The sequence below is a fragment of the Homo sapiens genome, chromosome 22 (genome assembly GCF_000001405.40).
Source record: "Homo sapiens chromosome 22, GRCh38.p14 Primary Assembly".
In the NCBI taxonomy this organism is placed as follows: Eukaryota; Metazoa; Chordata; class Mammalia; order Primates; family Hominidae; genus Homo; species Homo sapiens.
In genome coordinates this window covers 19964945-19988414 of record NC_000022.11, presented here as the reverse complement: position 1 = coordinate 19988414, position 23470 = coordinate 19964945, and the positions used below count along the sequence as shown (strand labels likewise).

Below are 23470 nucleotides of genomic sequence, written 5' to 3'. Positions count from 1 at the left end.
CTGGTGCAGTTGAGAAGATGGAGCCAGCTTAAAGATAAGATGCGGGCGCGTTTTTGGCGCAGTGTCTGGTCTTCTGCGCTCTGCTCCAGGGGTTCCAGGCAGGTTGGCCCTAGATGCAAGATACAGGGGTCCAGCCAGTGGTAGGGTAGCTCACCCCTCTGCAGGTGGGGGAACTGAGGCTCAGAGGGGCACATGGTGGGTACCTAGAATCTTGAGCATGCTAGCCGAGTGGCCTCTGTATATGGCGCTCAGGGCAGCAGGGAGTGGTCCCTGCGGAGGCTGTTTTCTGAGGGGTCTGCGGAGAAGCCAGTGGGAGGCCTGGGCCCGAGCCCTTTCTCTTGCCAGACCCACTGAGTCTCCCTGGGTTGGTCTCAGCTCATTTAATCTCAGAACCTGTTTCCCTGTTCGTGATGCTGGAGCCATTGGCTTGGCCTTTGTGGGGTTTGACATAAGAAGGTGGCTCCAGCCTGGCCCTTCCCCTCCCATTTTTCACTGCAGCAGAACTAGATTCCCTAGGGTGTGGCCCACATTGAGGCTGGCCTGGGGGAGCAGTGGGGGTGCATTCGGGGCTTCTGTGCCTCGATGGGGAGAACCCAAGATACAAAGTGGGGGTCCCCTGCAGGGCCCTTTTCCAGGTCCCCATCGAACTCTGTGGGGACAGTTCTTCGCAGGCCCATTCAGAGTGGCGGCTGGGCAGGAGGGTGAGGGGGGATCTGGGAGACTGGAGAGATCTCACAGAGCCGTGACTACTGTCTCATCGGCCCCCATTTCATGGCAGGTGAAACTGAGTCGCAGCCAGGTTTGTGCCAGTGAGGGAGGCCTTGTGCTCTGTGCATCGCAGCACGGGCACCTGCCCTGCCGGAACTGTTTCCCCCTTTGCAGGCGGACTGAAGTGTGGTCATAAACCGAGGCCAAACCGAGGCCTGGGAAGGACTTGGCCAAAGTCTTTCGGCGGGAAAGTGACACCCCTGCCGCAGGGAGGGGGAGGGAGCAGAAGTCCAGGCCGGCAGTGGGTGGGGGGAGGTGGTGGGAAGTGGGGGGACAGGGGGCGACCCGGGGCTGCAGGGCCCCGCCCCCTGTCTCTGGGGGGCGGGACCTCACATTGCCCGCCCCCCGCCCGCCACGCCCACCCCGGCCCCCGCCACGCCCCACCTGGGCGCGGCCCCGCCCGATTGGCTGCTCGCCGTGACCGCCGCCAGATCCGCCCCCGCGGGGAGCGAGTCCGCCGAGCCTGAGCCCGAGCGGCCGAGGCGCCGGAGCCGAGCCTGGTCCAGCCACCGCCTCCCCCGCTGCTGGCCAGCGCCCCCCGAGTCCCGGCCCGATGCCGGCCGAACTCAGACAGGTTGGAGGGAAGTTGGCTTGGGGGGACCCTGGCCCGGGGTCGGAGGCAGAGGGCGGGGCGTCGGCCTGCCCGGGAGGACCCGCTTTTGTTCCGCGGAGCCGCTGGCCCGAGGCAGCTATTGTCTTGCGCCCCTGGCTGGGCTGCGTCAGGCTGGGGCCAGGGCCGGGCGGGTGGCGGTGTGAGCGCGGTGCCCCCGGGTATGCAGGGCGGGCCGCAGGGTCTCTGGAGCCCATCCGCGGGGCCTGGGGGGGTCGGGACCCCTGGCAGTTTGACCCTCCTCTTGGCACCGGCCCGGACCGGATGGACGCTTCTTGGCCAGCGCCCAGGACAGGTGCCTGGGGACACGGGTGGAGAGCCAGGGCCTTCCTGAGCGGCTTCTGTCTGTGCAGGAAGGAGGCTGAAGTCTGAAGAGGGAAGCCCGGGTAGGCCTTCTGCTCCCTGAGAGGGTTCCTCCTCTCCCCTCCACACCCCCTACGCCGGCTCTGACTCCCGGGACCTGCAAAGGAGCTTCCGGAGCTTTAATGGAAGTCTTCTCTGCCTCCGAGGCGCACGTGATGGGAGGGATAGAGACAGGCCCTGCCCACTAATGGATGCTGGAGGAGATCTCTAAGGAAAACGGGATCCTCCCCCTCTCAGCATTGAGGTGGGGGGAGGCATAGGCAGTTTGTCCTCTGCTCAGAGCAGTGCTGGGTTCAGTAACAGGCAGGGAAACTGAGCAGAGGAGAGACCAGCCAAGACCCTCTGTGGTGGGAGGCAGGTCTCCCACACACCTGCTACCTGGGCAACTAGGCCCCTGCCTGTCCTACGGCCCTGGTGTGGCCCCCAGGGTCTGGCCCTCAGAGGTGGAGGGACCAGTTTTTGGGAAATCCATGGTCACAGTGTGTCTGATGACCCCAAGCTGAGCTTGGGGAAGCTGAGGTGGATGACAGTCAGCCCTGCTCTCCCACCCCAAGTTTGCTCCCCCAGCTTGGCTTTTTGGCATCTCTGCCTGGGGCCACGCCCTGGCAGGTGCACTGCTGTGTGGAGAAGTAAGCTCCAGGTCTTGGAGACTGGTCAGAGGCTGTGGCACCAAGGGAAAGGGCATTTTGTGGTGGCCAAGGGCTTGCTGCCTGGTGAGAGATGCCAGCCTGGCTTGTCCTGGACTCTACCTGGGAGGGCCATAATGGGGATGGAGAAGATTCATTCATTCATCCATCGGACAGCAGCCACCTCCTGCCCTCTGGGAGCCTGGCCTGCAGGTGTGGGATCCAGGTGTGCAATCTCACCTTAACTCATTCTCTGTGTGTGCTAGCCAGGCCTTGGACAGGGGAGGGGCCTGCCCCTGCAGTCTGTTCTTCAGGACACAGACCGTGGTGCATCTGTGAAGTCCGGTGGTTTGGGTAGATAAGTAATATGGGACCAGGGCCCAGCCACCTGTGCCCCAGCATCCCTCTGTGTGTTGGTCCAATCTTGCTTTTCTGCTCCCTGTGTTCCTTGCATTTTGCCACAAAAGTGAGACTGATGCTACCCAGCACGTCCCACGACCCCAGCCCCCTCTGTCCTTCTCACCTCCTTGTGAAGAAGCTGAGCCGAAGGTGCGTGATGGGGCCCAGAGCCCCTATGCTGGGCTCAGCCCTGTGTTCCCGGGACCCTCTTGTGAGCAGGGGTAGGTGGTCTACCTCCCTGGTCACTCTGGCCCCTCCCACAAGCCCAAGGGAGCTCATGGGAAACCCCAGGCCTGGGCAGCAGCCTGTTTCTGGGCCAGTCCTGGGGGCCCCAGACCTGGTGCACCAGAGATTGAAGAGCCAAGGGAGGGATGAGTGCTGGGAGGCCGGGCGGGGTGCAAGAGGAGCAAGGATGGGGCCCCAGCTGGGGAGGGGGTGATGAGAGACGACTGACAGGATGCAGCATGTGGGATTGGGCTGGAGGTGGGGTGTTCAGGGTAGAGCCCATGTCTAGGGTACAGAGGGGAGCAGCCCAGAGTTGGGTCTGAGGCAGAGGCTGTGTGGGGCTGCAGGGCCAGGGTCCCTGAGAGTGGGCCAGCCTGGGCAGGTGCACGTCAGACATGGACACTGGGGCCAGACAGGGATCCAGGGACTGCAGCCAACTCCTGTTGAGAGTCAGCCCACCATTCCACAGCCCCACCCTAAAGATGTTGCAGAGAGCTGAGCCACCAGCTGGCTATGGGCCTCTCACTACTCTACACCTCAGTTTCTCCATCTGCCAGCCAGCTCTGAGACTCCCAGAGTGGATGCTGGGCAGATGATTGGCAGAGTTGGTGGCCCCTGTCCCTGTGTGTTGAGACTCTGTGAGGCCCTGCATGGATAAGGGTCTCCGATACACGGTGGAGGACGGGAGGATGTGTGCTCACGAGTGTGCCTCTGGGAACAGTGGGCGCCGTGCCCTTGGGGTGCTGTTAGAGCACACGGGTTGATGTGCTCGGCCTGTGCCGGGCTGGGTACTTGCACACGTGTATGTACATGCATGTGTCCCTGTCTGAGGGGTCATGTATATGCATGTGTGTGTGCCTGGGCATGTGTAGCAGGGGCCGGGCTTTCCTGTGATCACTGGCTGACTCATGCACCTGCCACCCGGGTGAAGTCATCCCTCGTTTTTAGCTCCCTGAGGTCATTTGCCAGCAGGGACTCTTGGGGCCTCTGGATCCTACTGCGGGGCTGCTAGGCCGGGGCTGATGGGTGGTGCCGCAGGGTTGCCAGGTCTTGCTGCGGGGGCGTGGCTCTCCTGGACCACCCCAGCTCTGCCTGTCAGACCCTCACCACAGCCTTGGTGGGAGGGATAAGCTGGGCCACAGAGTGGCATCGGGGTCCTGAGATGTCCTCCCCTTTTCCTCTCCCGCTTACCCCCACTGCCTAGCTAGGGAAGAGGGGGTTTTTCTCTGAGTTTTTAATAGATGTAAATATATACATATATGAGGGGCTACATCCCACTGGCAGAGTCCTGGGTAACGTTTCCTCAGTCTTGCTTTATACCCTCCTCACTCTGTCGCCAGAACTGCAGCCCCTCAGTGCCTGGGCCCCTGCTTGAACTCAGATGAGCCCCGCCCAGGGCCCAGCAGAGAGAGCTCAGGGCCTGACACACATTTGCCAGATACAGATGGGGCAGCCCAGCCCCAGCAGTGATGGGCCACACAAGCCTTCTCCTGCTTCAGAGCAGTCCCAGCTCCCCAGTGCCTTTGGAGAAGAGCCCAGCCTGCCCTGCCTGGCAGCGTGCCAGTTGTCCCCACTCTAGGCCTCAGTCTATTTCTTTTTCCCAGGGAACAGGTCCCCTTTTCCTAGCCAGGTCCACAGCAGGCATTCCACCTACATCTCAAGACTGAGGGCGAGATGAGGCCCAAAGCCTTCCTTGCCAGATTGCCTTCTCTGGGGGTGCTTGAAATCCCACTTGGACTGTGAAGTTCTAGGTAAATCCTCTTCCCCCTGCCAGGCCTCAGTTTCCCCATCTATAAAGTTATCTGTCATCCTCCAAGACCCTGCCTGTGGGAGAGGGGGAGGTGCCTTCTGTGGCCACTTCTTTCCTCTGTCAGCCTGAGGGATACACCTGTCCTAACATGTTGGTGCAGGCCCCTTCCTGGACACCTGCACTGCATGCATTTGGGGGTCAAGTATTCCCCCAGGATAGGACCCTGACCTGGGGAGGCTTCCCAGCCCACGAGCCTTGGCAGGCAGGTCCTGAGGGCAGCGCTGAGCATCTAACCTGGCTCACCTCCCAGGCCCAAGAATGGGCAGAGTCTGCCTCTGGAGCCTGGCAGAGCTTAGTGTCTGTGCAGGCCCCAGGGGGCCCAGGCAAGGGACCCATTGTGCAGGGACCAGGGGCCTGGGCCACAAAGCAGGACCTGTCCTCCTGCTGACCCTGCCCTGGCTGCCTGGGAATGTGCTCCGCCTGACCCACCCACCAGGGCTTGGGTTTCAGCTCCTGCCCATCCTGGCTAGATGCCGATCCCCGGATGTTGGTGCCATGTGGCCCTGGGGCCAGGCACCTGTGCAGTCAGAGGCCCGGGGCAGGCTGTGAGTCTTAGGTCCTCAAGCCACTCAGCGCGGCAGGGGTTGGGCCTGGCTCTGATGTGGGCCAGCCTATCCTCTTTGAGCCTCAGTTTCCCCACTGGCAAGTCCAGTCAGTAGGCATGTGGATAGAAAAGTCTCAGTCCAGAGTTGTCTTGCCTAGAATTCCAGTGTCGTCACCCCATGCAGAATGGTGGCAAGGGCACCCATAGGCTCAAATCTACTGTGTCTGGTCTCTGATATGATGCCCAGAGTCTCAGTCACTGGGGGCGCCAGCCACTGGCCCGAGGTAGGGCAAACCTGTGCCTACACAACACTCAAGAATGTCTGGGCTGGAAGGAATAAGGACATACTGGTGCTGCAGGTGCATGGGGTGTTCTGGGAACTGCGTATTTCTGTCCCTTGAGGGCGTCTGGCTGGCGTTGGTGGCGGGAACCTTAGTGTGGCCACAGGAGTCAGTAGGCAGTGCTGAAACAGCCCCCACAAGGCTTCTATACTCAAGGTGTCTGGGGCAGGTGAGGGAGGAGGCCCCAGGACACCATGATGTCCCAGCTAGGGGTGGTGGTTGACATCAGGAAGGCATGCTGCAGGTCTCACTGGCACCTCCTGGGGCCTGGAGGAGCCTGTGGCAGCCAGGCCATGCAGCTTGGGGAGGGCCCTGAAGACTTCACCCCCCAGGGTCTATGTCCTTATCTGCCAACTCAGCCTGAGGAGACCTGAGATGGGGGTCCAGCCCCAGGGTCCCCCCAGGATGGGGTGCCGGGGCAGGGTTAGCACCTCGATGTTCAGAGGGCAAGAACTTATTGCTGTCCTTGTCAGCTTGGGCCGAAACAGGCCTTGGGGTGGGTGGGTTCAGGACCAGGAGGAAGGCACCCTGGTGTGCTGGCCAGCATGAGCTGAGGCAGAGCTGCTGTGTGTGGAGACCTGCACTCCAGGGGTGACTGAGCAGCAGGCCTGCCCACCAATGTCCCTCCTTGCCCCAGGAGCAGAGCCCAGGCAGCCAGGCCTCACTGGCCACGATGCCGGAGGCACCTGATGTGCTGGAGGAGACCGTGACGGTGGAGGAGGACCCCGGCACACCCACTTCCCATGTGTCTATTGTCACATCCGAAGATGGCACAACCCGGCGCACCGAGACCAAGGTATGGCCAGGCCCAGGCAGTGGGTGGGTGAGCAGGGCCAGGCTGCTGCAGCTGTCCCACCTGCAGAGTGGACATGGAAGCTTGCCACGTGGGGCCTCTCATTGCTCGAGTGGGAAATTAAGGCCAGCCAGACCCCAGCAAAGCAGTTTCTAGGCCTCTCGTGCTACCCCACCTACCTGCCTATCCATCCACCAGGTCACCAAGACTGTCAAGACGGTGACCACTCGGACAGTACGCCAGGTGCCCGTGGGCCCAGATGGACTCCCCCTGCTGGATGGCGGCCCCCCACTAGGCCCTTTTGCAGATGGTGCCCTGGACCGGCATTTCCTGCTGCGTGGTGGTGGCCCAGTGGCCACACTCTCTCGAGCCTACCTCAGCAGTGGGGGTGGCTTTCCCGAAGGCCCCGAGCCCCGGGACAGCCCCAGCTATGGCAGCCTGTCCCGAGGGCTGGGCATGCGGCCCCCACGTGCTGGCCCCCTTGGCCCAGGCCCTGGTGATGGCTGCTTCACACTGCCTGGCCACCGGGAAGCCTTCCCGGTGGGTCCTGAGCCTGGGCCACCAGGTGGCCGCTCCCTGCCCGAGCGCTTCCAGGCAGAGCCGTATGGCTTGGAGGATGACACGCGCAGCCTGGCCGCTGATGACGAGGGTGGCCCTGAGCTGGAGCCTGACTATGGCACGGCCACAAGGAGGAGGCCTGAGTGTGGGCGGGGCCTTCATACCAGGTGAGCTGCACCCCGTCCCCTGTGGCTACCTCCTCTGGGAAGTCTGCCCTCCACCCCCCAACTACAGAGTGCCCCACTTGTCAAGTGGCGCAGTTGAGTTAGTCATGCATGTTAGTTTGAATTGGCCTTGGCTCTCGTCAGGGACAGAAGAAAGGTGGACCCTGGGGTGGTAGGAGTTCGGCTGGGCACTGTCCTGCAGGCCCAGGGCCCAGGAAAGCTGGGAAGAGTGCCGGCCACTGGCCTTGCTCCAGCCACACTCTGGGTAACCAGAACCCAGAGCCCTGGCCCTTGTCACAGCCCCTGGTTCTGTCCCCATTGCCCTCAGTTTCTGCATCTCTGGAGTGGGGATGTGACCACAGCCCGGGTCAGGATTTTGTTGTGTGACCCTGGCCAAGTCACCTGACCGTCACTCCTAGCCTCAGGGCAGGCGGTTTGATGACAGCAACCCACAGGGCTACTGAGAGCTAAGGAGATCTTGTGCCCCAAGGGGCTGGTGGCCTGAATACTCCTCAGGTGGTCCTACTGGGATGGCTTCATGCGGAGAGGGCCATTTACTCCCCCTACATCCTGGCACAGCCAGAGATGGGCCTCATGGAAGATGGGGTGGTTTTGTGGAAGGGAGGTGAGACGGTCTCTCCAGCAGCCATAGCAGATGTCTCACAGAAACTTGTTTTGCTCGGGATTGGGAAACTGCCCGGTGACAGCAGTGAGTGAGTTTGCTGTCCTGGGAGGGTTGCCTGGGTCCTGGTAGCCGCTGGCTGGGGTTTGGCATTTGGCTCTGAATTGGTTCTCACTGGGCTGGTGCATGACTCTCTGTGTCCCCACCATGCTCCGGGCCAAGATACAGGTGCTCTCAGCCCAGCGCTGCTGGGTGAGTTTGCAGTCCTGAAGAAGGTGTGATGGGGCAGCTCAGAGGCAGGGCTGGCGGCTGCTGTGACGATGTCCACGCGCCCCACTTGCCTGTGCAGGGCCTACGAGGACACAGCAGATGATGGCGGCGAGCTGGCGGACGAGCGGCCTGCGTTCCCAATGGTGACGGCGCCCCTGGCCCAGCCTGAACGGGGCAGCATGGGCAGCCTGGACCGGCTGGTGCGGCGCTCGCCCTCAGTGGATAGCGCCCGCAAGGAGCCGCGCTGGCGGGACCCTGAGCTGCCTGAGGTGCTGGCCATGCTGCGGCACCCCGTGGACCCCGTGAAGGCCAATGCGGCCGCCTACCTGCAGCATCTGTGCTTTGAGAACGAGGGTGTCAAGCGGCGTGTACGGCAGTTGCGGGGGCTGCCGCTGCTTGTGGCACTGCTGGACCACCCGCGGGCTGAGGTGCGGCGCCGGGCCTGTGGGGCACTGCGCAACCTCTCCTATGGCCGCGACACTGACAACAAGGCCGCCATCCGGGACTGCGGTGGTGTGCCTGCCCTGGTGCGCCTGCTGAGGGCTGCCCGGGACAACGAGGTCCGTGAGCTTGTCACTGGTGAGTGGGACCTGGCCATGCTCACATCCCCTGGGAAGAGAAGAGTGTGAGGCTCAACCCGGGAGGAACGAGGCCACTCGGCCTGCGACCGCCTGGGAAAGCACCCGGTAGGCAGGAGTGCAGCTGCTGAGACGCTTGCCCCAGGAGCCAGGCATCAGGCCCAGACACTGTGACAGGTTCCCCAGTCTCTACCATAGCAGGGAGGCTGACGCTGCGCCCCTCGGGCATGTCCCCTCACCTCCTGCCTTCACACCTCCTGCCCCCACAGAAACTCTCCTGGGACCCACCTCCTTGGTTCCCACCCCAACCGTGCAGTGGTGGGGCTTGTGCCTTGTGAGAGCTGAGGGACAGGTAGGGTCACCGTGTCTCTGTGAGGCCCTGTGGCCTCAGGAGTGTTAGTGCCACCTGCCACATGGCAGGGAATGGGTGGGACGGGACAGCACTGCCACACCCTCCTCTGCACCTCCTCCCCTTTGGGGCTCCTTCCTAGCTGGAAACCAGTACTGGGTGTCCCCCGGAACCACTCACGGCTTTTGTTACTTCCTACTGTTCTGCATGAGCTGGGACATGAGGAGAGTGGGACAGGTCCTGAGCGTGGCCACCTGGGGAGGTAGGCAGGCGGTGCATATGGTCAGCACAGATTGGCCAATCGCACCCCACAGGCACCCTGTGGAACCTGTCATCCTATGAGCCCCTGAAGATGGTCATCATTGACCATGGCCTGCAGACGCTGACCCACGAGGTGATCGTGCCCCACTCAGGATGGGAGCGTGAGCCCAACGAGGACTCCAAGCCACGGGACGCCGAGTGGACAACTGTCTTCAAGAACACGTCGGGCTGCCTGAGGTGTGGACCAGACCTGGTGCTAAAGCCCACATGCACACCAGGCCCCGTCCTCGTGGTCCCAGATAGTGTGGAAGATGGCGGCGAGCTTAGGAGCGCCAGAGCTTAGGAGCTTCAGAGCTGTGGCACAAGTCCTGTGGATGAGAAGTGGGGCCTGATGGAGCTGTCCTCACCCCCAAGTGGTGTCCCAGTCTTCCCAGGGGCACCCTCTGGAGGGGTCTCTGTGGTACCGTAGCCCTGCCCAGCTCTCACCTACCTTCCCATCACTTGACAGCCAGAGGGGGAGCTGGGACCTTCCTGTTCATCTGCCTGGGAGGCTCATCCCAGCCACCTGTGACCTCTGCCCTTCCCCTCCTACCCCTGGGAGGCCCTGCTGACCCCACAGAGTCCTGGGTCCCCACAGTCCTGCTTGTCCATCAGGGTGTTCCCGCGCAGCCCTGCAGGCTCTTGACCTTGGGGTAAGGTGGGGCCCAGAGCTGCCATTGGGGTGGCGAGGGACCCAGAATTGCCCTTGCACAGGTTCAGGTCTCTCTGAGAGTGCACCTGTCCCTTTCCAGGTCAGCTGGGAGGCAGGGAAACCCTGTCTTTCCCTGCCCAGCTATCCCCAGCCAAGATAGTTGTCTGCCAGGGCTCCCCTCCTGAGGCCTGGGGGCAGTTAGCTTCTCCCCCTTCACTGAGCTCCAGACTGTGGGGTCCTTTCCCATTAGTGCTAGGAGGGCAGCAGCAGGGCCTATTTTGCAGATGAAGACAAGCCCACAAGGCCAGGGTGGAGCCAGGGAGTTTCTGGTAGCCAGGGGTCACCTGGCCTGCTCTTGGCCACACAGGAATGTGAGCTCCGATGGTGCTGAGGCCCGGCGGCGACTCCGGGAGTGTGAAGGGCTGGTGGACGCGCTCCTGCATGCCCTGCAGTCGGCTGTGGGCCGGAAGGACACTGACAACAAGGTGGGCAGGGACGGTCACAGCCTCATACCAAGGGCTGGAGAGACGATCATGCAGGTCCCAGGAGGCTGGAACTGTGGGAGCAGCACAGGGGAATGGGCTTGTGGGTCTGGGGTGGCGTTCTGGGTGTGGCCCGCCTCGCAGTGACCACACTGAAGTGGGCACCGTCCTGCAGGCAGAAGGTGTGCCGTGAGGGCAGAGGCTTCCTCCCATGGACCCTTCCTGGCGGTTACCGCCCTTTTGCTCCCCTCCACTGAGGACTCCCTGTTCCTTTGCTCCCGGTGCCCTCATGCACACCAGCTGTGGCCAGTCTTTCCTGAGGGCCAGCCCTGTGCCTAGGGTGCCCTGCCCCACCCACTCACCTCTCCCTGCAGTCGGTGGAGAACTGCGTGTGCATCATGCGGAACCTGTCCTACCACGTGCACAAGGAGGTGCCCGGGGCCGACAGGTACCAGGAGGCCGAGCCCGGGCCCCTGGGCAGTGCTGTAGGCTCCCAGCGCCGGAGGCGGGATGATGCCAGCTGCTTTGGAGGCAAGAAGGCCAAAGGTGGGTGGGGCGGACTGGGGTATCATCTCTACCATCTCAACTCCTGCCCCAGCGGAAGGCTCTCTGTACACCCACAGCAGCCCATCATGGAGGCTAGAGGACACCTGGTCAGCCCCCAACAGGCAGGCAGGGAAGCCAGGAGTCAAGGAGGCTGGACTGCCCTGGGTCACATGGTTGATGGGACCCAGGTCCAACCTTCCCCATCTACACTGTGGGACCCCCAGGGAGTACACAAGGGAAACCAACCAATGCCCAGACCCAGTCTTTCTACTCCGGGGAGAGTTCCACTTGCCCATGAGTTGGGAAGGAGCCATGGCTGCTGCCTGCTCACTGTTCACAGAATAGCTGTAGACTGCCACCAACCTGTGGGGCAGCCCCCCATCTGCCTGGGCAAGATGCCCTGCACACCTTCTCTACTGCACTAGCAGGGTGTAGGTTCCCAGGACCTCCCCAGCAGCTGTGGGGGACCTGTACGCCACCTGCCCCTGCCCCACTGACCCCAGGCCTCCCTCTTCTTGTACCCCTGGTGGGTGCTCAGTGCCCAGAAGTGATGGGATGAGGTTCCACATGCTGCCTGCTTGATCCAGGGTGTGCAGTGGGAACCTGAGGCTTCCGGGAGGGCATGGGGGGGTGATGAGTGCTGCCTGTTCAGGCTCCTCTCCTCTCTCCTCTGCTTCCTCCGGCCTCCCAGAGGAGTGGTTCCACCAAGGTGAGTCCCTTTTTATCCTGCTCTCCAGGCCTGGCGTGTGCAGTGGGTACCTGGGAAGAGGCGAGCACGTTCCAGCCCCAGGGCCCTGCCCCACCCCTGGCTTCATCACTCGGGCTGCCATCTTTATGACAGTGGCAGGTGGGAAGGCCACGGGGCTCATTCTGTAACCTCAGACTTGCCTACCTGGGCAGAGTTGGGCAGAGCCAAGAGTGGGCAGGGCCCGGGGGTACTTATCTCTAGGGGCACCAAGGAGCAGTCTGTTTCTCTGATAGAATGGGGCATCATGTGGCTCGGAGGGATACAAGGGTCCCATGAGGGTGAGCAGGGCAGGGACCCCAGGTCATCTGGCTCCACTCTGCTGCCTTCTGAAGGGGTAGAAGCATCATCTGACATGGGGAGAGTGGTTGACAGTGGGCTCACTGTCACAGACGTGTGCAAGCCAGGGCTACACAAATGTTAGGTGGGCTGCTGTGGGGTTTCTCCTGGCTAGTAGATCCTGGGACAATGTCCTGACCCCAGCTGGGGGAGTTTCCCCCTAGTTCTGCCTTACTGTGTGACCCAAGTGAGTCTTGTCCTGGTCAGCCTTCAGTTTCTTGGCTTGTATCCACCTACCATCCAGCCAGGGCTCCTGGCTTCCCTCAGTCTACATACCTGGCAGTTGCAAGGGAGCCACCGGGAGGGTCTGTGGTACAGCTCCCAGCACCTGGTGGGAGATGAGTCCTAGGGGCAGGGCTGGGACATCCCCAGGCCCCACTGCCACCAACTCCTACCCCTAGGCTAAACTGTCTGCCCAAACTCTGACAACGGTGCTCCACTCCCACAGGTGCCCAGGCCTGGACATGGGGGTGCCTTTTGGGGCCTGGGTAGGAGAGAACTGTGCCCAACTCTCCTGATACACCCATTCCCCATATGGGGTCTGCCTCACCTCCCACCACCTTTCCCTTCCAGGAAAGAAGGATGGTGAGATGGACCGGAACTTTGACACGCTAGACCTGCCCAAGCGAACTGAGGCCGCCAAAGGTGAGTGGGCTGAGATGAAGCCAGCTCCACTGGGGGATGTCTGGGCTCAGGATTGCCCTGGTAGTGAAGCTTTGAGCCATCAAGCAGGCCTGGAGGGCCTCAGGGAACAGATGGGGAAACAGGCCCCTAGGTGCAGGATTTCCTGGAGGGTGATTCAGCACCAGGACACCTGCTGAGGGTTTAGAATGGGAGGAAGTGCCATGGGTCATGTCAGGCAAGGTTGGGGGAGACAGGCACAGAGAGGCCGAGGGCTTGCTCGGCCTCACGGTGCGTAAGAGGTGGGAAGGTTTGGAGGGACGCCTCCAGTGGAGGCAGGGCCTCCTGTGTTAGCCACAAAGCTGAGTTATCTGAGGGGGCTGGGAGCCAGGCGGGCATGCTCACATCCAGGTTCAGAGGCTGGGCCAGACGAACACCTGCAGGGACAGGGCAGTGCCTATTGGGCTGTATGCTGGGATCTGGCTTGAGAGAGAGGTCTGTCCTGGTGGGGCCTAGCCAGTTGGAAGAGCCTGCATGTCACCAGGGTGGAGGGCTCCAGCCGCAGGAGGGCTGTGGGGGAGTATTACAGGCAGAGCAGGGCTGATGCAGATACCCCAGCGGGGAGTGTGCTTGGAGTGTGTTGGAGCAGAAAGCCCAGCAGGGCAGGAGTAGAGGGAGCATGGGGCATGAGGACTGGCGAGGGTGTGATGAAATGTCACTGGGTGGGTACAGGGGAGATCGAGGTAGTACCCAAGCCAGGCTGAAGCCCCAGTTTGGAGACAGGCAAGCTTGGAAGGCTGTTTTGACCCCTCATTTCTGGAGCACTGGGCAGAGCAGCAGGACGGCGCCTCAGTTGCCCGGGAACTTGGAGTGGTTGCCAGGAAGAGTGCCTCCTGTTGCTAGGGCAGCTGCCCTGGTTGCACTGCATCAGTTGACTTACAGAGGGTGGGCTCTATTGTCAGTGGGGGAGGGTGGGCCCTGTTGCTAGGGGGCGTAGCTCTCTGCACAGCTTCAGTTACTGGTGAAAGCAGGTCCTCTTGCTAGGGGTGTGGCCTTGGTTATACAACTCTCAGTTACTGGCCAATGCTGGTCTTGTTGCCAGGGAGGGTGGGCCCTATTACCAGGGGCGTGGCCAGGATGCATAGCTTCAGGGACCTACCGGGAAATGCGGGTCTTGTTGCTAGGAGAGCGTTCCTGGTTGACACCTCCCTCCCCACCCCAGGCCTCCTGGATGCTCCTGCTGCCAGGCAGGTCCAACTGATTTGAGCCTCAGTTTGTTCCTCTGTGAAATGGGAACGCTTTTCCCCTTGGGTGACTATATGTTGATAGTAAATATTACGTGACTCATCCACACCCATCCCTGGCCCCAGCTCACCCACGCCCTGGGAGCTCTGAAGCGGGAAGCGGGAGGGGTATGATGGATGAGAGCAGATTCTGGGTGACCGTGGGTGGCGGTTGCCCTGCACCTAGGCTTTGAGCTGCTGTACCAGCCCGAGGTGGTACGTCTCTACCTCTCCCTCCTCACGGAGAGCCGGAACTTCAACACCCTGGAGGCTGCCGCCGGCGCTCTGCAGAACCTCAGTGCCGGCAACTGGATGGTGAGGGACCAGGTCGGGCAGGGTGGGCAAGTCCTGAGAGAGGGAATCCCAGGCACCTCACTGGTGCAGCTCCTGCCTCGGCTGGCGGGGAAAGGAGGGGCCACACCACCACCCCAGGATCCAAGAGGTGTATGGGCTGCGGGCAATGCGTGCACCCTGGACGGTGGGAAAACCTCGGTGGAGGTGCCGTTGAGCTTTTGGGGTAGGGCTTTGTCGGGCACGGGAGCAGGAAGGTCCAGCTGGAGAGAGCGGTCAGCGTCTGGAGGTGGGAGAGTGCCTGGCATGTATGTCTGAGCAACCCTCTCCCCGCCTCCGCAGTGGGCCACGTACATCCGCGCCACAGTGCGCAAAGAGCGCGGGCTGCCGGTGCTTGTGGAACTGCTGCAGTCTGAGACCGACAAGGTGGTGCGCGCCGTCGCCATCGCTCTGCGCAACCTCTCGCTGGACCGGCGCAACAAAGACCTCATCGGTGAGGACGCCTGCAAAGCCCACGCCTGGGCACCGAACTGTGCCTGCAGCTTTGGGGTCCCATCGGAGGGGCTTGGAGGATGAGTGGTTTGGGAGTCCAGGCCCCGGCCCTCTCGCTTGGGCGCTGTCCCAACTGGAGGTAGCTCCAGTCCCCCCGGCCCTGTCTCTGAAGCTCAGCGCCCTGCTCACAGGGGCTCCTGTGACCGCCTGCACACAGGCGGTCTCCAGGGGCTCTCCTGGCAGTGCCCCTCGCCCTCGCGGGATCCCTGCTCCTTCCTGGAGAGGTGGGGCAGAGGTGTGTTCTGACACCTAGTCCTGCCCCTCAGGGAGCTACGCCATGGCTGAGCTTGTGCGGAATGTGCGCAATGCACAGGCTCCGCCGCGACCGGGGGCCTGCCTGGAGGAAGACACCGTGGTGGCGGTGCTCAACACCATCCACGAAATCGTGTCCGACAGCCTGGATAACGCGCGCTCGCTCCTGCAGGCACGCGGGGTGCCAGCGTTGGTGGCTCTCGTGGCCTCCAGGTGTGGAGGGGCGGGGTCGGTGGCTTGGGGAGCCGCGGAGGTGGGGGAGGGGCCACCACTGACCCCGCCCCCGGCCCCACAGCCAATCGGTACGCGAAGCGAAGGCGGCGTCACACGTGCTGCAGACAGTGTGGAGCTACAAGGAGCTGCGTGGTACCTTGCAGAAAGATGGTTGGACCAAGGCGCGCTTCCAGGTGCGGCTTCCCTGGCCTTCCTTCCATTCCCTGCTCACTTTGCCTTATTCCCACTCCATGTGCTTCACCCACCCTGTGTCTGTGTTTTATGTCTCAGTCAGCTGCTGCTACTGCCAAGGGGCCTAAGGGAGCACTGAGTCCTGGGGGCTTCGATGACAGCACGCTGCCACTGGTGGACAAGAGCCTTGGTGAGTGGTGGAGCTTAGGGAGCCTAGAGGGTGGCGACCCCAGCTGCCCCAGTTGCCTGACCCTTGGGTGAAGGTGAAGGAGGAGTCAGGCCTCCCACTGAGACGGCTTCCATAGGCCACTTTCCCTGCCCTCTGCCTCTTGGCTACTCCCTTCCCACAGCATCCGCGCTGTTGTCAAGCTGGGGTGAGGCTGCCAGCTGGCAGAGGTTGGGCACCTTAGTGACAGAGAGCCTCTAGGGCTACCTGGGCCAGCCCTGTGTGGGCTTCTCTGCCCCGATCCCCCCTGGCTGCCACATGCAGCCCGTCTCCTCCTCCTGCCTTGCAGAGGGCGAGAAAACTGGCAGCCGGGATGTGATCCCCATGGATGCGCTGGGCCCAGGTGAGTGCAGATGCAGTGTGGTTGGTTTTCTGTGCCGGGAGGGGACCAAGGCCTGAAGTGGGCCTGCTGGTTTTATGGGGTGTAGATGGTGCTGGGTGGAGGAGAGATATTTGGTTTAGGGGTGCTTAGAGGGTGAGGTACAGGGCAGCTAGAGAGGGATTAGTGCTCAGCCAGGGGCTCTGACCCACAAGTGGAGGGGAGTCTGGAGAGTTGGCAGGGTGTTGGTGAGAGCTGGCACCAGCCTGGATCTCCAGGACAGGGTGGGTGGGGGCTGTCTCCCAAAGCCCCTGTCCCACGAGTCCCCTGTGTCTGGGCTGAGAGGGAGATCTGCTCCTACAGGGCCTCCCTCAGAGCGCCCCTCATGCCCCACCTTACCCCATCTACAGACGGATACTCCACGGTGGACCGGAGGGAGCGGAGGCCACGGGGCGCCAGCTCTGCAGGAGAGGCCTCTGAGAAGGAACCCTTGAAAGTAAGTGGTCATGTGGCTGTGGGCAGGTCCCCGGTGAGGCCCCGTGTCTAGGGGTTGCTGGAGAGCAGCCTAGGCCATGCTGGGTCTGGTCTGGGCCCTGGGGTACAGCTGGGTTGTGGGGCCAAGCCCAGGAAGCAGCCCCTTCACGCCAGTCAGTCTGTGGGTACTGACAAGTTTGCAGCTCCCACCCACTGGGGACAACACTGCCCGGCCACACCCTGCATGGGCCAGAGCCTGTGAGCTAGTGTGTGTGCACCCTTCTGTGCATGTGCGTGTGAGAGCCCACCAGGGTCCACCAGCGATGGCAGGACCTGCTGCCTGCTGTGTGCCAATCCCCTGGCTTCCTGTGCAGGCCTGTGTGTGTGCACGTGCCCGCCCTGGGCCCGTGTGAGCCACACGTTTCCGGCTCCCTGCGCCCTTGGTGCTACCTGTGCTGTCCTGGCAGGCCAACCCTTACATCGCCAGCCTCGGCCCTGCCCCTGCCCTGTCCCCCCAGGAGCTCTAACTAACCTGCTCTATTGTGCCTCTAATGCCCACCCGTGCGCTGCAGCTCGACCCCAGCAGGAAGGCCCCTCCCCCCGGGCCCAGCAGGCCCGCGGTCAGGCTGGTGGACGCCGTAGGGGACGCTAAGCCTCAGCCCGTTGATTCCTGGGTCTAGCTTGCATGCCTGGTACGTTCTCTCATCTGGTTGTTCGTCCACCTGTTCCTGCCCTCTGGGCCAGGGCTTCTTGTTAGTCTCCGCTGCCTGCACGCTCTGCTCTTCCCGCACGTTCCCCGCAGGACTTTGGCCTCCAGTCCAGCAGCCCAGTGGCCCATTCCCGGAAAGACCAGGCAGAGGTCAGAGAGGGAGGGTGCTCCCTGGGCCCACAGCCCTGTCCCAGGCACTGTGGGATCAGGGGCCTGAGGAAATGGGACCAGAGTAGGGATGGGCACCATACCCTCCAACGCCCTTCGGGGACCAGCAAGTCAGGATCAGCCCTGGTGCCAAGACCCTTGGGGTCAGCCCACACCACCCAGGGCAGATGCTTCTATCCACATCTCCATCCATGTAGCCTGTGGAGTTGGCTGCCCTGCCCTGAGGTTACACGTGGTCCTGTGCCACTCAGTGGCTGCAGCGTCCACCATCCCCTTTCCCTCTGCAGGGCCCAGGCCCAGCCTCTTGTTCTTAGGGCTTGGATCGTGGAAGAAGGGCCACCCTGAGCAGATCGTGCCGTGGAGCTTGGAGCCCCCTGGCGGCAGGGGTTGGCAGCGCCTCGCCCCAGCCAAGCCTGACTTTGGGGACACCCTCCTGCCCCCCCACCCCACTCCCCCCATCCTACCTAACTCCCTAGGCCTGAGTTAGCTGTTTACTGACATGGTGCTGTGTGTGAGCGAGTGACAGAAGGCCCGAGGAGGCCGACTGGGCTGCTGGGGCAGGGCCCAGGGAGGTGGCAGGGAAGGGTGCCTGGCTGGGCTTTGGGGCTGGTGGGATAGGAGGGTGCCCCTGGGAACACAGTGCCCCAGTGGTGCGGGCCAGGTCTGGCGCCAGGGGCAGGCAGCTAGGCAGGGAGGGGGCTGGGAAAGAACTTGGACTTCTAAAGGCGGAGGGTCTCCCTGGGCACCCTGCAGGCAGGCAGACCACGGTGTGGGGGGTGCCCCACAAGGCCCAGCCCTGGGCAAGGAAGCTTTGGAAGCAGCAAGGTGGGGGTCAGGCTACAGGTGCCCCACCTCCCCAGAGCCCTGCAGTCACGTGAGGCCCCTGTGCAGTAGAGAGCCTTTCTCCAGCCCATGCTGGCTGGGGCCGGGGCTGCCGCATCTGCCTGGAGCCTGGGCAGCACCTCCGGGACTGACCTTCGGCAGTGGCTGGGGGACTGCTTTCAGTGCCTGCTGTTCGTGACTCAGAAACAGAAGAAAAACACTGAGAAAAAGCATTAAAAATAAGCCAAAATAAGACTATTGGTAAACACCTAAATTTTTGTAAGAAAATTTAAAAATTAAAGCAGCAAAGGAACTTTTTGCTTTCTGCCACTCAGGTCTGGCACAAGTGGCTGGCTTCTCCCTTGTGTCGGGCCTCTGCGCGTCTGGGGCAGGGCCCTGGGTGGAGGTGGTCCCAGGTGCCCATCTGCTGTGTCCTGCAGAGGCTCTGTTTCTGGTCCCTGGGTGGCCCCAAACTTGTCCACTTGGGCTCACTGGTCTGTCTATCCATAGGAGTGGGCTGGCTGGGGGCTAGCCAGGCCTTGAGCCCAGGAGTAGAATCTTGGCTAGGGGCTGGTCTCGGTGCAGGTGAACTCAGCTAGCACAGGGTTGATTCCTGTCCTGGGCCTGGGAACTGGGCCCTTGGAGCCTCTGAGGTGGCTAGCAGTCTGACCCCTTGGAGGAGATGGGGACAGCTCTAGGTGTAGGTGGGCAGAAACCAGCACTGCATCCTCACTCATGGGCCAGGGAGGCAACTACAGGGATGCGGGAGCTGGTCTGAGCCATTGCCTCTTCTGTAAGCAAGGCCCAGTGGGGAGTAGGGAAGGAGATGCTTCCACTCTGTGCCACATGGGGCCCAGAGGGGCTGGTGCTGCTGCGGGGTCCACCTGTCCCCAGCGCCTGCTTGGTCAGAAAGGTGTGAATGCTGGCTGACTCCTCTTCGTTTCCCAGGCCGGCAGTCGTCCCCATGGGGCTAACAGGTGCCCCTGGCCTAGCTGCAGGAGGGCTGACCTCTGCACCACTGTGGCTGGGAGGCCAGTGGGCCAGGCGTGCCACCCAGAACCCAGCCAGCTAGGGGCCCCGCCCTTAGCGTTAGCGTCCGTCAAGGGGAGCTTTGAATGTTTGGTGCCCAAGTCAAGGGCAGCAGGGGAATGGCAGTTGAGAAGGATGTACTAAGTCGAGTTATATCTAAATATTTAGATTCTTAATTTCTATTTTATATTTTTAAAACATGATATTAGTATATAAGATAATATAGCTAGCCAGTGTTAGTAAAGAAGTCATGATTGAGTCTTAAAAAAGAACAATCCAGTGTTGCAGTTCAGAGAGGTTAGCATGTCAGGGCGCAGGCCTCGGCCGAGGTGTGCTTTGCATTTAGGACACAGCCCGGAGCCGCAGAAGGTCAGCAGGAGCACGTCTGGCACCTTCAGTACCAGGCTGGGTGAGAGAGCCCGAGAGGGGGGCCGGGGGGGCAGTCAGGGCCCTGCTTCGCTGCCTGGGCCCTTGTAGATGGCCTTCTCCAGGCCGTCCACCACCTCCCTGTATTCCAGGAACGATTGGTAGTGTGTGCACTCAAAGCAGCTGCTCCCGCGCACGTGTGCTAGGAAGTCTGGCGCACCTGGGCAGATCACGTTGTCAGCCAGTAGCACTGTCCCCTTCCGCAGCAGGCCACATTCCTGCAAACAGACCGGGGGGTGGGGGAGGTGAGGGTCAGAGGTGCCCAGAGAACCTGCCCCAAACCAGGATGGGTGCTCCTCACTAGGCCACGGCACCACGCCTGTGCCTAGCCCCTGGGGCCAGGTTTCCACTTTCTGCCCAGCGTGACTCCTGCAGGAAAGGACTGTACAAGACTTGGGTGCCACCTTCAGAACATGGGCCCCGTGAGGACAGGGACCTTTCTCTCATCAACTCCTGTATCCATCTCAGGAGTATCCATCCCTTAGAACAGCATGTGGCACACAGTAGGTGCTCAATAAATGCTAGCTGGGTGAGTGGAAACAATGGGGCCCTCAACACCCAGTGCCAGGAACTCAGGCCTATGAGGGAGAGGCACCCAAGGAGAGGGGTTGCTGGTATGGTCCCTGGAGACAATATTGGCCTGACCAGGGTGACCCTGCAGGGCTGAGGTGGGGCAGACCTCCCATCAACAAGCCTGCCCCTTGGGGTCAGTTCTGGACATCCCCAAGCTCCTGCATTTGCAGACCCCCCATCTTCACCAGTGCCTGGGCCCTGGGAGGACACAGAGTTCCTCTGCCTGGGTTCTGTGCAGAAGGAAGGAGTTGTTACTGGACACGCAGCCATAGGGCATGGCCCGTGGGGTCCACTATCGGGAGAAACCTCATAGGATGCTTGCCTATCTATGCTATCAGAAAAGGGTTTGCTTACATCACATAAACAAGAAACCTTGAGAGGAAGTGTTTGCCTATGGGGAGGAAGGACCTACCAGGGCAAGGGACACCCCAGTCACCTTGTCTTGGAAATTTGACTTAGTCACCAAACAAAAGTTAACAAGCAATCTCAAACATCTAAAGTATAATAAAATCAATTTGCAGGCAGGTGCCTTGAAACACTGGTATCCGACCCCACATGCCTCTGGGATGGGCCTGGAGAGTCCCACAGGGCTTGCAGCTGTCCTGGTGGTGGGTGGCGGTCGTTTCCAGCCTGTATGCTGCAGAGAAAGCAGGGGGCTTTCATGTGACAGTATGGACACCACACGGCTGCAAGGTCAGTGAGGTCAGGGGACAGCCCCAAGGTCCGGAGTTGAGCAGGAAGTACCACCATGAATCATGATGTGTTTTCATTTAGAAAAAAAAAAAAATGTCCTAGCAATGTCAGCTGAAAAGACGTAGAACAAAGCGCCACCCGGGAGGAGGACAATGGCCTAGGCCTTGAGCAGGGCGGCTGCCTTCCAGTCTGGGCCAGGGAATGCATGAGTGAGGGGCCTGGGCTCCTGGACTTCTCGGGTTGCGCCAGGGGACTCAGGAGCCCAATCTGGTCATCAGGGATACAGAAGACGTCAGCGGACTGAAAGACACCAGACCACTGCACCTGCACGAGTTAAACAGGAAAGAAGGAGGGAAGGGCAGAAAGGAGCATGGGTCACCTTTGGAGGCTGCCAGGGGCCCACTCCTTTACGAAACTGGTCAAGAGGGGAAAGAAGGCAGCACCTGTCCTGCCTGTCGCCCGACACTGCAAGCCTCCTACCAGCTACTCAGACCACCTGGAGAACTGGCTAAACATGCATCAGCGTCTGAGCAGGACTGAAAATCTAATGCCGTGGAGAAGCGACAGTGTCAGAGGAGCAGGTGACACTATGCTGAGGTGGTTTTCATCTGGCCCACCCTCCTTAGACTCTCCTCCCTTCAAGAGTTGGAGCCTCACAGAGGTTGCAGGGAGCCAAGATCGCGCCACTGCACTCCAGCCTGGGCGACAGAGCGAGAGACTGTCTCGAGAAACAACAACAAAAAGTTGGAGCCTCAGACCAAGCACACACCTGTACTCCCAGCACTTTGGGAGGTTGAGGCAAGAGGATCGCTTGAGGCCAGGAGTTTGAGACCAGTCTGGGCAACATAGGGAGACCCCATTTCTACAAAAAATTTTTAAATTAGCCAGGTGTAGTGGTGCATGCCTTTAGTCCTAGCTACTCAGGAGGCTGAGGTGGGAGGATCACTGGAGCTCAGGAGTTTGAGGCTACAGTGAGCTATGATGTCATCACTGCACTCCAGCCTGGGCACAGAGCAAGACTCTGTCTTTTTCTTTTTTTTTTTTTTTTTTTAAGGGGGAACTCATTCCTCTTCCTTTGGGCATGGGCTGGACTTGGTGACTACAGCAGCCCGGTGGAGAGGCCTCCTCAAAGCAGCCCTTGATTTTGAATTGCAACCTGCTCCTGAGCCCCTCACCCCTCGTGCCTCCGATGCTCACAGAACCCACTGAGGGGATGGCTAGACCCTCACAAGAGCCAGGTTGTCCCCTAACCCTCCACAAGGGGGCACAGGGCCCCAGCCCTGAGTGTGCAGATGTGCGTTTAACAAGGACACCCATTCCCAATTCATGACTTCCCACTTCATGACTTTGCTTCTTTTGAGATAATTACCAGCTTTGCGCAAGCAGCACTGAGAAAACTATTAGTTTCCTAGTTACTAAACTGCAATGTTTGCTACTTTTCTATGAAGGCAGGCCCCTGTAATTAGCACCCACATCACAGCTGCTGAAACTCGGCCGCAGTAACGCAGGCCCAGCTGTGGGTGTCTTTCCTGCCCAAGTGAAGCCCATCTGGCTGAGTGCCAGCTCTCTGCCATCAATACCCAATTGCCAGCATCATGCTCCTTTGTCAGGGGTGAGCCCCCCTCCAGCTACCCTGTCTTGGCCTGTAGGTCTCCCTCCCACCCTCCCAATGCCCACCCCCTTGGCCACTACAGGTCCTCCCTCTCCACGGCCAGGGTTCAGTGCCTCCTCGTGAGTTCAGGGCATCTGAAATGCCCTCCCCACAGCCCTCTCCACACTCCACAAGGCTGACAGGGATCTTTCCAGAAAAGTTTTTGTTGTTTTTTGTTGTTTTGAAAGCTGGAATACGGCCGGACGCAGTGGCTCACGCCTGTAATCCCAGCACTTTGGGAGGCCGAGGCGGGCGGATCACGAAGTCAGGATATTGAGACCATCCTGGCCAATGTGGTGAAACCCCATCTCTACTAAACTACAAAAAACTAGCCGGGTGTGGCAGCGCGCGCCTGTAGTCCCAGCTACTCAGGAGGCTAAGGCAGGGTAATCGCTTGAACCCAAGAGGTGGAGGTTGCAGTGAGCCGTGATCGTGCCACTGCACTCCAGCCTGGTGACAGAGCAAGACTCCATCTAAAATATATATATATATTTTTTCTTTTGCCATGTTGCCCAGGCTGGTCTCGAACTCTCCTGGCCTCAAGCGCTCCTCCTGCCGTAGCCTCCCAAAGTGCAAGGGTTACAGGCATGAGCCCCTGAGCCCAGCTCCAGAAGACAGGTCTAACCTCATCCTCACCTGCCCAAAGTCCTGTGTGCCCTGACTCCCATTGTTCCTGGAACATTCTCTGCCCTTTCACACCTCAGGCTTCTGCTAGTGCTGGTTCCTTCCAATCCGTGTCCAGGGTCCAGCGGCCCTACCTAGCCAGGCATGGGGGCTGTGCCCCTCGTGCTCCTAGTCCGGCTGCTAACAGCAGTGTCCAGTTTCTGGGAGAGCTGCAGGTGAGCGAGCACCAGGTGGGGAGGCCGTGAGGGTGGGTGTCCCAAGCCCAGTG

The 23470-nt window shown here is 61.0% G+C and overlaps 2 protein-coding genes across 25 annotated transcripts in view, besides 4 other annotated features; one reads left to right on the top strand and one right to left on the bottom strand.

The window, feature by feature from the left end:
* ARVCF (ARVCF delta catenin family member) overlaps window positions 1-23281 on the top strand; it is a 51690-nt gene extending 28409 nt beyond the window's left edge. The window contains exons 4-20 of one of the 20 annotated variants that reach the window (NM_001670.3): window positions 6324-6482; window positions 6678-7204; window positions 8173-8672; window positions 9335-9518; window positions 10340-10457; window positions 10829-11000; window positions 11692-11709; window positions 12658-12729; window positions 14176-14303; window positions 14622-14772; window positions 15098-15296; window positions 15379-15490; window positions 15588-15678; window positions 16004-16057; window positions 16444-16529; window positions 17080-17199; window positions 17672-18519. In NM_001670.3, coding sequence (NP_001661.1) covers window positions 6324-6482; window positions 6678-7204; window positions 8173-8672; window positions 9335-9518; window positions 10340-10457; window positions 10829-11000; window positions 11692-11709; window positions 12658-12729; window positions 14176-14303; window positions 14622-14772; window positions 15098-15296; window positions 15379-15490; window positions 15588-15678; window positions 16004-16057; window positions 16444-16529; window positions 17080-17187 — 2679 coding nt within the window. In that variant the 3' untranslated portion in view covers window positions 17188-17199; window positions 17672-18519. Of the gene's footprint in view, window positions 1-1218; window positions 1343-1411; window positions 4743-6323; window positions 6483-6677; window positions 7205-8172; window positions 8673-8722; window positions 9024-9334; window positions 9519-10339; window positions 10458-10828; window positions 11001-11691; window positions 11710-11737; window positions 11848-12657; window positions 12730-14175; window positions 14304-14621; window positions 14773-15097; window positions 15297-15378; window positions 15491-15587; window positions 15679-16003; window positions 16058-16443; window positions 16530-17079; window positions 18520-21205 lie in introns of those variants that run through there. The other 19 variants (XM_011530180.2, NM_001410839.1, XM_047441372.1 and 16 more) reach the window with 19 other exon arrangements.
* Window positions 1075-1514: a silencer, noted in NCBI's record as "silent region_13470". NCBI's record gives its function as "represses an Ori minimal core promoter by ATAC-STARR-seq in GM12878 lymphoblastoid cells {active_cell/tissue: GM12878}" and the evidence as "EXISTENCE:reporter gene assay evidence [ECO:0000049][PMID:35858748]".
* Window positions 1873-2808: an enhancer, noted in NCBI's record as "H3K4me1 hESC enhancer chr22:19973130-19974065 (GRCh37/hg19 assembly coordinates)". NCBI's record gives its function as "activates a minimal SCP1, AML or CMV promoter by ChIP-STARR-seq in primed H9 embryonic stem cells {active_cell/tissue: H9 hESC(primed)}" and the evidence as "EXISTENCE:reporter gene assay evidence [ECO:0000049][PMID:30033119]".
* Window positions 3746-4682: an enhancer, noted in NCBI's record as "H3K4me1 hESC enhancer chr22:19971256-19972192 (GRCh37/hg19 assembly coordinates)". NCBI's record gives its function as "activates a minimal SCP1, AML or CMV promoter by ChIP-STARR-seq in naive H9 embryonic stem cells {active_cell/tissue: H9 hESC(naive)}" and the evidence as "EXISTENCE:reporter gene assay evidence [ECO:0000049][PMID:30033119]".
* Window positions 4683-5620: an enhancer, noted in NCBI's record as "H3K4me1 hESC enhancer chr22:19970318-19971255 (GRCh37/hg19 assembly coordinates)". NCBI's record gives its function as "activates a minimal SCP1, AML or CMV promoter by ChIP-STARR-seq in naive H9 embryonic stem cells {active_cell/tissue: H9 hESC(naive)}" and the evidence as "EXISTENCE:reporter gene assay evidence [ECO:0000049][PMID:30033119]".
* The window catches only part of COMT (catechol-O-methyltransferase), a 28204-nt gene continuing 23173 nt past the window's right edge, over window positions 18440-23470 (bottom strand). For all 5 annotated transcript variants that reach the window (NM_001362828.2, NM_000754.4, NM_001135161.2 and 2 more), the window contains one exon: window positions 18440-19879. In NM_001362828.2, coding sequence (NP_001349757.1) covers window positions 19679-19879 — 201 coding nt within the window. In that variant the 3' untranslated portion in view covers window positions 18440-19678. The remainder of the gene's footprint in view (window positions 19880-23470) is intronic.